This window comes from Homo sapiens, chromosome 11, assembly GCF_000001405.40.
Source record: "Homo sapiens chromosome 11, GRCh38.p14 Primary Assembly".
NCBI lineage: Eukaryota > Metazoa > Chordata > Mammalia > Primates > Hominidae > Homo > Homo sapiens.
In genome coordinates, this window is record NC_000011.10 from 44,528,558 (window position 1) to 44,541,728 (window position 13,171).

Consider the following 13,171-nt stretch of genomic DNA (forward strand, 5'->3'; position numbering starts at 1 on the left):
ACTTCGTCTCTCTCTGTGCTCAGTTTCCTCTGCAGTGATGGAAACACCCAGCACAGTGCCTGGTGGCTACTGATGCTACTTGTTCACTTTCCTAAAGTCTGTTATTGCTAGGGAAAGAAGGAGCCCATGGATTTTGGCAATGGATGGCACCAGGCAGCAAAAACTTCTTTTCAAGTAGAAACAAAGGACAGGGATGGTCATTTTAATGAACACCTACTATGCATCAGGCACACAGCAACCCTATTCTACAGACTCAGAGAGGTTAAGTTACTTGCCCAAGGTCACACAGCTAATGAAAGAGGTCCAGGTTCCTACCTGGGCTTATCAGACTCCCAGTTCATGCTTAGTTTTCTTCGCCCTTGGCAAAGCAATGAATCTCAAAGGGTGGAATGTGGATCCCCATGGGTGGGTGGGGCACGGGAAGCCCCTGCTACTGAAATCCGCAAGCCGGCCCTGCTGTGAAGGAGGGAAGGGTCAGGGCCGAGGCCCCACCACTCTTGCCCTCCTTCTGGTGACCTTGGCTGAACGCAGTGGGGGACTGCCTTCACCTGGAGCAGTCGTGCTCTGGGAAGTGCCATTTTCCTCTAAGGAGAAAACATCTTTTTCACACACAGATGCCTGAGTGGGATTCTTTTCCCAGGGCCCAGTGTTTCTGGTTCTATCTTTTAGTTTCTTTTGGTGGATTTGTCCTTACACCTTGACTGTGTGCCACTCTGAGCCTCGATAGTCCCGCTTCTCAGAGGCCATCTTGGTCCCCTTTAGGCCAACAGGATGGGGGGTCCAGGACCCAGAAACAGGAAGCTGGGGAGAGCTGCGTTCACTGGCGGATTTTTCTCTGTATTGTATGTGGGGGCATGAGAACTGGCAGGATCAGGAGGAAGGGTGGGCCCTCTGAGAGCCCGGGTGACTGCCAATTTGCTTAATTCTCAGGACCAGTTGAGGGGTTAGGTGAAGAAGCCCTGGGCTGGGGCAGGAAGGAGACGCCGTACCCAAAGCTACACTTTAGCTAATAAGATGACTTCAGGCCAGGCGCGGGGGCTCACGCCTATAATCCCAGCACTTTGGGAGGCCAAGGTGGGCAGATCACTTGAGGTCAGGAGTTCGAGACCAGGCTGGCCAACATGGTGAAACACCATCTCTATTAAAAATACAAAAAAATTAGCTGAGCATGGTGGCCAGCTACTCGGGAGGCTGAGGCAAGAGAATCACTGAACCTGGGAGGTGGAGGTTGCAGTGAGCCGAGATCGCACCACTGCACTCCAGCCTGGGTGACAGAATGAGACTCCATCTCAAAAAAAAAAAAAAAAAAAAAAAGGATAAGATGGCTTCAGGTCTCAGTGCTCAGCACCCCTTCCTTCACCCCAGGCAGTATAGGAAGGAACCCGAGATACTGAGTTTGTTGGCTCTCGACTGCTGTGCTCTCAACTGCTGTGCTGTACGAATTGCTACCCCTCTCTGTGCCCTGTTTCTCCTACCTGAAAAAGAGGAAGGCTCAGTCTCTTTAGGCCCCTTTGGAACCTCAGCCTCCCCTCTTGCTCCATCATCCTCATCCTTCCTCTAAAATATGACAACATCCTGATTCCTCTCCTCTCAGGCAACCAGACTTTGTTTTCTATAAAACTTCCAGCTAATCTAAGAAATGCCTCCCCACCCATGTGTTCATGTGTTCATTGCAGAGGTCTCTTCCTCCCTAAGGCGTCCCTTCCCAGGGCTGTTGAAGAGGTAACAGGGTTCGTGTGGTGAAGCTCAGATGTGGGGTCAAGTCACAGGTCTGCTACCGGAAAGGGGTCTCGATCCAGACCCCAAGAGAGGGTTCTTGGATCTCTCACAAGAAAAAATTGGGGGCAAGTCCATAGGGTAAAGTGAAAGCAAGTTTATTAATAAAGTAGAGGAATGAAAGAATGGCTCCTCCAAAGGCAGAGCAGCAGTACGGGCTACTCGAATGAGTATACTTATAGTTCTTGACTATATGCCAAACAAGGGGTGTATTACTCATGAGTTTTCTGGGTAAAGGGCAGAGATTTCCAGGAACTGAGGACTCTTGCCCTTTTTAGACTATATAGGGTAACTTCCTGACATTGCCATGGCGTCTGTAAACTGTCACAGTGCTGGAGGGAGTGACTTTTAGCATGCTAATGTATTATAATTAGCATATAATGAGCAGTGAGGATGCCCAGAGGTCACTTTCATTACCATCTTGGTTTTGGTGGATTTTGGCCGGCTTCTTTACTGTATCCTGTTGTAATAGCAGGGTCTTTGTGACCTGTATCTTGTGCTGACCTCCTGTCTCATCCTGTGACTTAGAATGCCCAACCTCCTAGGAATGCAGCCCAGCGGGTCTTGGCCTCATTTCACCCAGCCCCTATTCAAGATGGAGTAGCTCTAGTTCAAATGTCTCTGACAACCCCACCACATTGGAGCCAGCAACCCGGGGCAGGGGCGTCTTAGCGTCTCTGAGGACAATGGCCGCTCCTTGTTCCCTGGGCTGTTTGGAATAGAACCTGGGCCACCTCCTGCCCAGCCATGCCCAGTGCACAGGGTCAAGAGATCAGCCTTTGGTTTCAAGCCTGCCCTCTAAGTTGCCATTGGCCAGGGATACATAACTCCGTGTCTTTGCGTCTCAATTTCCCCATCTGAACAATGACGGTGTCCCTCATCTCTACCACCCGCCTCTCCAGACACTGAAAGGAGCCAGAATTGTGGGTTTCAGTGGCTGCTCCCTGATAAGGAGAGCCAGCCTGGCCTGGAGGCCTGGAGGAGGCTGAGGAGGTGGAGGAGAGGCCACATGCTACAGCCCCACCCAAACCTCGCAGCAGGCACAGCTGCAACTCCATCTGGAACAGCGGGCCCCACCCACACACATGGTCGAGCAGCCAGACCTCCAGCACGCCCCCCACCCTGCCTGGCTGCCTTTCCTGCCACCCCCGGATTTGTACCCATAATCTGCATATTTAGCAGTTCACCACATTGCAAGCCAAACCCTAAATCCTTCTCAGGCGGGGCCCTGGGAAAGCGCTACTCATGCTTCTGCAGAGCCCCAAGCCCCGGCGTCTAAGACCCCATTTTCCAAGTCTCCAGGTGGACAAGACGTCAGCCCTGTCTTCAGGTGTCCCCTGGACCTTCAGAGGCTGAACCAGGCAGCTAAGCAATCAGAATAGTCAGGATAATTCGAAGAAGAAGAAAAAGGAAATGAGAATGATTTCATTATTTGACTTTCAGGACGCTGAGTGAGACGAGCTGGGCAGTACCATTCTCCCCATTCTGCAGAAGGGCATACCAAGGCTCAGGTTCAAGTTCAGAGTCATTCAGGGCCGACTCAGCCACAATGCCAGGAAGAGCTGTCATGTCTCGAAGGCCCGACCAATTCAAGTGAATTTCTAATTCTTGAGTCTAGAAGCAGCTAGGAGCTATGGACAGAGCGTGGGGCAGGGGACCCACATGCTTGGCCTCCAGTCCCAGCTCTGCCCCCAATCAGTTGTGTAGTCATGGCTACAGGGTTGACCCCTTGGAGCCTCTGTTTCTACCACCCCTTTACTTCTGGGATCTCTCCAGGCCCCGATTCAGCCTCCCAGCCTCCCACCTCCCCAGTCCCAACTCCAAAGGAGTATATAGGGCTTTTGAATGTCACTGACTCTTCTTGAAAATGGAAATGGACACCCTTAGAGAGCTGTTGTCAAGAAATATGCAGAGCAGACATCCCGGTGCCCTTAACCCATCCTTGAACCTGACCCCTACCCTAAAATACCAGCCATTAGCATTTTCCTAGCTCTGTCTTCCAACCAGATGGTGCAGTAAGTATTTAGTCCTGACATCAGCCCTTCGGAGACAGAGGAAGATGATGAGGAAGATAAAGAAGATGATGTTGGTGAGTGGCAGATGCTGGGCTCAAAGTCAGAGCTGTCAGATTCGGAGGCCTGAGCCTTCACTACCGCTCTGTGCCGCCCAAGGCATGGGAGCCCCCAGGAAGAAGGAACCCTCCACCATCTTGGCTGCTTTCTGTAACCCAGTCAGCCCCATGAGGCCCATGCCTCTCCCCAGGTCCTAAAAGGCATGCGCACCTCCCCATTTCCAGCACCCACCACAACCCCTGCTCCTCTGCACAGGGGCACCCACTCCCTGGATTGGATGTGAGAGGGAGATTGGAGATGTGACCTCCATAGCCTGACTTTGTTGCCACAGGCCTTGTCTTGACTCCTCAGCTCACTGGGGGCTCCTCAGGGTGGGATTTGGGGTTCCAAGTCTTCTGTTCTCTCTTCTATTCCTGCACCTAATAAGGGTCTGTGGATCTCCTATCTCATGCCAGGCATTGCTCTGGTGATGGAGACAAAGCCATTCAAAAAAAACAAAAACAAAAAAACTATATCCTCAGTCCTACTGTCTTCAGCACAGGCTGGCCCCTAGGCAGTCTCCTCCCCTAAGTGTCCACGGATGGATGGAACAGAGAATTGAGAAGGAAAATAGAAAAGCCACATCTGGAACCACAAGACCAGCATGCAAATGCTCACTTGCCATTAGCGTGCTGTGTGACCTTGAACAAATCATGTGCCCTCTGGCCTCAGCGTCCCCATCTAACAAACAGAAGGCCTTGGCTCCAGCAATCATGCAGCCATGGTTATTCCTGTCCCACCTTCCCGATTGTTGCCATGCCCACCTGTAACTCTTTTTATTAAATATTATTCTTTAAATAAATGTACCTTTTCCAATTAAATACATTTATTTTAAAAGGTAAATTTATATTGCTGGGCACTGTGGCTGATGCCTATAATCCCAGCACCTTGAGAGGCTGAGGTGGGCAGACTGCTTGAGCCCAGGAGTTCAAGACCAGCCTGGGCAACATGGTGAGATCCTGCCTCTAAAAAAAAAAAAAAAAAATACAAAAATTAGCTGGGCATGGTGGTGCTCACCTGTAGTCCCAGCTACTTTGGAGGCTGAGCTGGGAGGATTACCTGATCCCAGGAAGGTTGAGGCTGTAGTGAGTAGTGATTTCACCCCTGCACTCCAGCCTGGGGGACAAAGTGAGACCCTATTTCAAAAAAAAGATTATATCACTCCTACAAATGAAAAAAATAATCAGTATCATTTGCCATAAGAAATAAAAGGGGCCGAGCATGGTGGCTTACGCCTGTAATCCCAGCACTTTGGGAGGCTGAGGTGGGCGGATCATGAGGTCAGGAGATGGAGACCATCCTGGCTAACACAGTGAAACCCCGTCTCTACTAAAAATACAAAAAAATTAGCCAGGCATGGTGGCGGGCGCCTGTAGTCCCAGCTACTTGGGAGGCTGAGGCAGGAAAACGGCATGAACCCAGGAGGCGGAGCTTGCAGTGAGCCGAGATCGCGCCACTGCACTCCAGCCTGGGCGACATAATGAGACTCCATCTCAAAAATAAAAAATAAAAATAATAAAGAAATAAAAGGTAACCAGAAAAGAAGTATGATGAAAACAAAACAGTGTTATTGGCTTTACTGGAAACTGCACTGTGCCAGAGCCCAGGATCCCATGCTCTGCTCTCTCTTTCAGTTCATTCATCTAACAAACCTTCACTGAGCTCCTCCCATGAGCCAGGTGCTGTGCTGGTGCTGGAGATAAAGCAGTTAACAAGAAATAGACAAAGTCACTGCTTTTGTGGAGCTCACACACTAGTGGAGGCAGAGAGAAAATAAGTAAAATAACATGTAGTAGAGGCACTGACCAAGAAAAGCGAGCAGGGGAGGGGTCACTACCTTACCCAGGATGGTCGGGGATGGTCTGGATGTGAGTTTGAGTAAATCGAGGAAGGATGCAAGGGAGTGAGATGTCTGGGCATCTGAAAACAGCATTCCAGGTGGAGAAAACAGCAAGTGCAAAGGCCCTGAGGCAGGACTGCCAGCAGATCTGAGGAATGAACAGGAGCTGAGATCAAAGAGCTAACAGGAGCTGAGGTGAGGGAGGAAGAGAAACAAGATAAAGATGAACTGGGAGTCTGATAAGCCCACGTAGGAACCTGGACCTCTTTCGTTAGCCATGTGACCTTGGGCAAGTAACTTAACCTCTCTGAGCCTGTAGAATAAGGTTGCTGTGTGCCTGATGCATAGTAGGTGTTCATTAAAATGACCATGCCTCTGCTTTATTTCTATTTGAAAGGAAACTTTAGCTGTCTGGTGCCACCCATTGCCAGGGAAACTGCTGTTAGCAGGGAAGGTTTAGAGCCTTGAGAAAGGTTCAGGTTGGAGGGGCAGCAAATAGAAACTTCCTCATTGGTTTAATCAGAAGAAAGGAAAAGAGTAAAGCGACAACTCTCAACAACTCTCTGGCTTGGTGACCCTATGCTAAGTAGTGCCGGGTCTTTATAGCTCTCTGAAGTCAGCCTGCGGAACTCCGGGATGTGAATATTGACCTTCCCTGGAGCACACTTTGGGGCTTTCTAGGTTTCTTTCCTGCTCTGTTTCCAAGCTGAACACAGAGGCATCTAAAGCAGCTCAAGACGTGATCTAAGTGGTCTGTAAATACCCCAGAGGGATCCCTTTCCCTTACCTCCCCCTTTTCATTCCATACATCTGCACTTTGTCTTGCCTTGCTTCCTGCCCCAGCCAGGTGAGATGGTCCCTGGTGGGGGCTGGAGTCGGTGCAGATGGGACAGAGGGAGGGTCTGATCAGGCATCCAGTTGGAGGGAGGGTTGATAGACGTTTGGAATGGACCTGCCTCTGCTCCTATGCATGGACAACTGGAGGATCTGGGCGCCTCGAGGGCGGGGCTGGGTTTTAGCCGTACTGAAACCTTGCTGTCCCGTTCAGAGGCCAGGCCTGGTGGGTATGTAGGAAGGTAACTAAATAGCCTGCAAGCCGATTGGGCACAGCTAATTCCCAAGGCAGCTGCGAGATGGCAGAATTCCAGTGAGGACAGGAGAAGCCGGCAGAAGTCTGGGCAGGGCAGGAGGACCCTCAACGCTCACCCCGGGCTAGGCCAATGGGTGGTACAACTCCTGGGGGCGCTCCTTGTGTTGCCTTCCATGAAATGGTACCTGCTGGGGTTGTGCAATGCTCAGCCTTGCCTGGGGTCCCGAGTTTTGGGTTGCCTCGTGGTGCTGTCCAGGAAGGGGGAGCTAAGCTATGTCTAACGTGGACCCCTGCCTATAGCAAAAGGGCTTCCTAAAAGGCCAGGCACTGGAACTGGCCTGGGCTGGGGCTGAAGGCTGGCTTTACTGTGTCCCAACTGTATGACCTTGGGCTAACTGCTTAAATCTTTCTGTGCCTCGGTTTCCCCATCTGTAAAATGGGGACAGATTAAATGAGCTAATACAAAAAAGTGCTTAGAATAGGGACTGGATTGTCAGTCCTCAATACATGTTAGCTTTCATAATAAATGCTGTTGTGGTCATTATTATTATTTTCCTTGGCCAGTGAGTTGGAGAAGGAGTTTGGTTCAGGAGGGACATGATGTAGTGAGGACAGGCAGAGATGGGAGTGGGAGATGGACACCACCTGTGTCTGGCCCCGAGCTGGACACAGGGAGCAAGTGATGAGGCCTGCAGGAAAAGCTCAGCCAGAGAATGTTATGATGCAGAAGAGGGAGGAGGGGCAGCCCACAAGGACTCAGGAAAGCTCCGGGATGACCTGTAATCCCAGCACTTTGGGAGACCAAGGTAGGCAGATCACTTGAGGTCAGGAGTTCGAAACCAGCCTGGCCAACATGGTGAAACCCCGTCTCTACCAAAAACGCACAAAATTAGCCAGGCATGGTGGCGGGTGCCTGTAGTCCCAGCTACTCAGGAGGCTGAGGCAGGAGAATTGCTTGAGCCCGAGAGGCAGAAGTTGCAGTGAGCCGAGGTCATGCCACTGCACTCCAGCCTGGGCAACAAGAGCAAGACTCCGTCTCAAAAAAAAAAAAAAAAAAAAGAGATAGAGAGAGAAAAGAAAGGATCTAGCAATATGTATGTAAGGTGCTGGGTGCTTATACATTTTATCTCATTTAATATTCACGTGTTGAGGACATTTAATATTGTTGATGATTATATTCCTATCATCAACGACTGTTATTATCCCTGTTAGGGATGAAGAGACTGAGGGTCACAAAGGGGAAGTAATTTTCTCAAGGTCACGCAGCTGGGAGGTGGTGGAGACAGGAGTAGAACCGTCACCCACCCTGCGGGTTACCATCCGCGGGTGGGAAGGGTGGGTGCGCTGGGCTGAGAACTGGGGCAGGTCTCCTCCGGGCTCTGCCTCTGTGTTGCTGTGTGATCTCGACTCGGAGCTTCTTGCCCCTCTTCTGTGGAATGAAAGGGGAGCGAAGGAGGAGGGTGTCTGAGGGGCGAGAGATGAGCCTGGAAGAGAAGCAAGGGCGGGCAGGGGGGGCTGTGACCTCAGCAGGCGGGGTGAGGTCCCAGCTCAGGAGCATCCTGGGAGCTCTGGTGGACCTGGCCTGGAGCTAATTAGCTGCTGGGAGGGGAAGTGCAAGGGCGGCGACCTTGTGGGGCGGGCCAGCCTCCCGCTGGCCCTGACACTAAGCCCAGCACCCACGAACATCTGGCCCGCTTTCATGCAGGCCTGGAGAGAGGCTCTGTCTGAGGGTCAGAGGTGGGGTGCAGATTGTCAGGGAGGACCTAGCTCTGCCCTGGGAGTTATGGGACCTTGGACCAGTTTCCCCATCCATCCCGGTGATAGATGAAGCCGGCAGCCCCCTCCGTGGGCCCCCTTCCAAACCTCACATTCCCTGGGCCTGTGAGTGTGGGGAGAGGTCAGGGAGATAGGACATCCCTGGAGGCCTAGGGATGTGGGGCGAGGCCTGTGGGAGGACAGCTGAGGTGAACCGGGAAGAGGACTGCAGTGTCATGAAGACTTGTGCTTAGAAAGAGCCTTGTAGGTCCGGGTGCGGTGGCTCACGCCTATAATCCCAGCACTTTGGGAGGCCAAGGCGGGTGGATCACCAGGTCAGGAGTTCGAGACCAGCCTGACCAACATGGAGAAACCCCATCTCCACTAAAAATACAAAAAATCCATAGCCGGGTGTGGTGGCGCATCCCTGTAGTCCCAGCTACTCAGGAGGCTGAGGCAGGAGAATTGCTTGAACTCAGGAGGCGGAGGTTGCAGTAAGCCGAGATCACGCTACTGCACTCCAGCCTGGGTGACCGAGTGAGACTCCCTCTCAAAAAAAGAGCCTTGGAGAGCTAGCCCATGGTTTGAGCCACTTAGGATCACCACAGTGGAGGGGTGGCCAAGGGAGTGAGGTCCTTGTCCTGTCATCCTAGGCTCCAACGGCTTTCTTTGTCTGCCTCCGTGTCTGTCTTCCCCACTGGGTGTGGCAGAGTCAGGCCTCTACTGCTAAGCCTGAAAATGCCCGACTCAGGCCAGCCCCATTTGACAGAGAGAAAGGCCCAGAGAGGGGAAGGGACTTGCTTGAGCCACAGCCAAGGAGGCTGAGGGGACTGCGGTGACAGAGGAGCGCCACCTCCATCTCCCTATCCATGTAACTCCAGCGCGTCTGCCTCTGAGGAAAAGAGACCTGCAGCCTACCCGGATGTGCTCATGCCAGCGCAGAAGAGTGTGTCCAAGGTGTGGTCTCCCTGGACCACTGGCTCTCCTGGCATCTTCCGTAGGAACCTACGCAGCTCCATGTGTTCTTCACTCCTGGTTTCTCCCTTCTCAGAATTCCAGGCTGCTGAGTTTTTCATTTCGCCGTCCCTCAGAGAGGCAGAATCCGTGTGTTGGGGAAGTCTGGAGATGCCCCTGGACTTCCCTGGGAGGTGCAACTTAAAAACAAAGAAACAAAACCGCAAATCCAACGCCTATCAACTGTCAGGTGTGGCCTGACAACATCCCGATGTCCCGTCGTAGCAGGATTGCCCCCGCTTTGGAGGGGAGGAAACCAAGGCTCAGAGAGGAAATGGGCGCTCCTGGTGTCCCCCGCTGGGAGTAGAACTCAAGCCTGGAGGCTCCAAGCAGCCTGTGGCCTGCTCTGGTGAGGTTTTTCGCACCTCTCCCAGGGCCTCCTTCCTCCCCGACGCAGAACAACTCGGATCTGCTGGTCCCACGGCGTCCTCAGGTCTCATCGGACCGTCAGTGGGCCTGGACAGCAGTGAGCAGGGCCCAGACGGCCGTTTCAGAGACAAGGGCGACACCTGCTGGAGATAAGTGAGCACGACATGCTAAGGCCAGGGGCGCATTCACTGCCTGGCTTCCTTTCTCCCTTGATGGGTGTTTATTGAAGGCCTGCTAGATGCAGCATCTCCAAGGTGTCAGAGACACTGAATGAAACCTGGTCTTTACCCCACAAGAGATTCCCAGCCAAATATAGAAGGTGCATAGCAATAATTGCAATGTAAAGTATGAAAACCAATGGTTTTCACTTTTTCCCCGCTTTTAATCAGTGGAAATAAATTCCTGTGTGAAAATGTAGTTAATAGGCCAGGTGCAGTGACTCACACCTGTAATCCCGACACTTTGGGAGGCCAAGGCAGAAGGATTGCTGGAGCTCAGGAGTTTGAGACCAGCCTGGCAACACAGCGAAACTGCGTCTCGACCAAAAATACAAAAGTTGGCGGAGTGTGGTGGCATGCACTTATGGTCCCAGCTACTCCAGAGGCTGAGGTGGGAGGATTGTTTGAGCCTTGGAGGTCAAAGCTGCAGTGAGCTGAGATTGCGCCACTGCACCCCAGCCTGGGTGACAGAGTGAGACCCTGTCACCAAGAAAACCAAAAGCAAAATCAAAAAAAGTAATTGACAATAGTAGCCAACACTTAGCGAGCACTTACTGTGTGCTAGGCATGGTCCTGAGCGCCTTATTTGAATGAACTCATTTATTCCTCCCAACAACCCTTAGGAGGCAGGTACAACATTAGCTTCGCTTTACAGATGAGGAGACTAATGATCAAAGAATGCGAGTAACCTGGCCAGGGTCATGAAGCTTGAAAGATGCAGAGTCAGGTTTTGAATGCAGGCCGCCTGGCTTTGAAGCCTTGACCTTCATCTCAAGGTTATGGGACTGCCTCTCTGTACACCTGGTACAAGTAAGGCTTCTCTGGCAGTAGGGGTTGGGGGGATGTGAAGTTAGGAACCACACTTGCTCTGCCCATCCCCCACCTCCTCTGGATTCCTAAGGAACCATCAAAAGCTGCCGACCCCAGTGTGGAAATCAGTGCATGCATGACATCGATAGGTCTTAAGCAGGGAAGAGGGAAAATTCTTTTTGAAGGAGAATTTGTATCATTTTAATGATTTTTATGTACAGAAAATGAAAGTGTACATTTAACCCAGTTAAGTGGCAAGTTCTTTAACCTTTGCCTTTTCCAACTTGGCAATGCAAGCCATAGATTTGGGACCCAGGATATTGCCTCCCCAGTGACGACGGATATCATCATATCTGTCGTTGTAATTAGTCCTGACAGCTTCCACCAGCTTCATCAAAACTCCTTTGTCTTCTGAGTTAACCTGTGTGAAGGCAACAGTGGTGCAGGTCTTCCTGTGGACTGGACGTTCCAGTCTTGCCTTCCCCTTGATAATGCAATCAGAGACCCACATTTTACAATGCAGGGCAGGCAGGAAGACAACAAGCTCGATGGGATCCTCGTCATGTCAAGTGCTACTCAAAATGGTTAGGCCCATTGTCTCCAAGCTACCTGCTGAGAGGTGATCGGCCTAGCATGCACACTCTTCTCTGCGGGAAGCAGCAGGCTGGCAACCAAACGTCTGTTCACATGCAGTCATCACTGGCTGAGCCTTCTTGTTCTCCACCAAGGGGTAACGGTGTTGACTCCTGCTTGAAGGACAGGTAGTCTCTTAGTGAGGATGTCCCCTTTGCTGTCAGCTTTCTTCTCAGCCTGGGCCAACAGCCTCTGCTTCTACTCTTGCTTTGTCTCTGGTCTGTATTTGTGGGTCAGCTTAGGCAGCTGAGTAGCTGGTGGTCCAGGTCCTGGGTGAACTGGTTAATCACAGGGGGCACTTTCAGCCACTTATAGAGGATGGCTCTCTGCCGCTGCAACCTGATATAGCAGGGCCATTTCACAAAGCGGCTGAGGTCACTTTTGGGCTGGATGTCCAGTGCCAAAATTCTTAGGCCTTTTCTTAACAGAGGGGATTCACCACTTTCTTGGTCTCCTGCTTCTCCATGACAGCAGGGGCCGGGGCCACTTTCTTCCCCCTGCGCTTCTTTCCTCTTGGCATCTTGGGAAGGTGGAGGAGCAGAAGAAAATAGATTTATGTGTTGCAATGGTTACTCTAGGGGTGGAGCAAGGAACTCAAACCAGAAGCTGTGATCAGATTTGGGAGGTGAACTGGGGAGGGAGTAGAGGGCACAAGAGCAGAGGAGGAAGGATGATCTGTGTTCACTGAGGAGATCACGTGGTCATAAGCTTGATTTTTAACTTACTTGGAGTGAGGTATGTGTCTAATTTGTCTCTTGAGCCAATCAATTTATTCACAGCCATTTGTAGAACATCTACTATTCACTGTTCTCAATGCTGGGGACACAGTGGGAAACAAGGACATAGGTCCTGCTTTTATGAGGCTTACACTCTTGTTGTGGGAGGGGGTCTAATAATGACCTAATAAGTAAATAAGATGAAGATGGTGATAAATATCATAGGGCAGATAAAGCAAAGCAATGTGCTGAGAGAGGCCAACCCAGCTGGTTTGAATTCTTACGCTGCCACTGGCTGTGCAGATCTAGGAACTGAGTGTTTCTGGCAGAGGGAATGGCAGATGCAAAGGCCCCGAGGTGGGAAGGTGCTTGGGGCATTAGAGAAACAGAAAGTGTGACTGAAGCATGAGAGGAGAGGAGGTCAGACAACTAGGCGGGGGTTAGAGCACATGCCTAGAGAAAAAAAAAAAAGCTTTGATTTTTGTCCAGGGCAATAAAACACTGTAGGAAAGTTTGGGGCAGAAACATGATAAGGTCTGATTTGCATTTGTAAAGTATCACTCTGACTGCTGAGAGGAGAAGGATTGTAGGGTGGCAAGAGTGAAAGCCAGGCTAAGTGTGGTGGCTCACGCCCATAATCCCAGCATTTTGGCAGATCCAGGTGAGAAGATCACTCAAGGCCAGGAGACCATCCTGGGCAACATAGCAAGACCCTGTCTCTAAAAAAAAAAAAAAAAAATTATCTGGGTGTGGTGGCACGTTTGTAGTTCCAGCTACTCAGGAGGCTGAGGTGGGAGGATCACTTGAGCCCAGGAGTTGGAGGCTGGCTGCGGTAAGCC

General features: G+C 51.3%; 1 pseudogene, besides 5 other annotated features; it reads right to left on the reverse strand.

The window, feature by feature from the left end:
• Positions 80-996: an enhancer, noted in NCBI's record as "H3K4me1 hESC enhancer chr11:44550187-44551103 (GRCh37/hg19 assembly coordinates)". NCBI's record gives its function as "activates a minimal SCP1, AML or CMV promoter by ChIP-STARR-seq in primed H9 embryonic stem cells {active_cell/tissue: H9 hESC(primed)}" and the evidence as "EXISTENCE:reporter gene assay evidence [ECO:0000049][PMID:30033119]".
• Positions 6,343-6,866: an enhancer, noted in NCBI's record as "H3K4me1 hESC enhancer chr11:44556450-44556973 (GRCh37/hg19 assembly coordinates)". NCBI's record gives its function as "activates a minimal SCP1, AML or CMV promoter by ChIP-STARR-seq in primed H9 embryonic stem cells {active_cell/tissue: H9 hESC(primed)}" and the evidence as "EXISTENCE:reporter gene assay evidence [ECO:0000049][PMID:30033119]".
• Positions 6,867-7,389: an enhancer, noted in NCBI's record as "H3K4me1 hESC enhancer chr11:44556974-44557496 (GRCh37/hg19 assembly coordinates)". NCBI's record gives its function as "activates a minimal SCP1, AML or CMV promoter by ChIP-STARR-seq in primed H9 embryonic stem cells {active_cell/tissue: H9 hESC(primed)}" and the evidence as "EXISTENCE:reporter gene assay evidence [ECO:0000049][PMID:30033119]".
• Positions 10,068-10,127: a silencer, noted in NCBI's record as "silent region_3273". NCBI's record gives its function as "represses an Ori minimal core promoter by ATAC-STARR-seq in GM12878 lymphoblastoid cells {active_cell/tissue: GM12878}" and the evidence as "EXISTENCE:reporter gene assay evidence [ECO:0000049][PMID:35858748]".
• On the reverse strand, positions 11,221-12,136 carry RPL7AP79 (ribosomal protein L7a pseudogene 79; annotated as a pseudogene).
• Positions 11,238-11,844: an enhancer, noted in NCBI's record as "OCT4-NANOG hESC enhancer chr11:44561345-44561951 (GRCh37/hg19 assembly coordinates)". NCBI's record gives its function as "activates a minimal SCP1, AML or CMV promoter by ChIP-STARR-seq in naive and primed H9 embryonic stem cells {active_cell/tissue: H9 hESC(naive and primed)}" and the evidence as "EXISTENCE:reporter gene assay evidence [ECO:0000049][PMID:30033119]".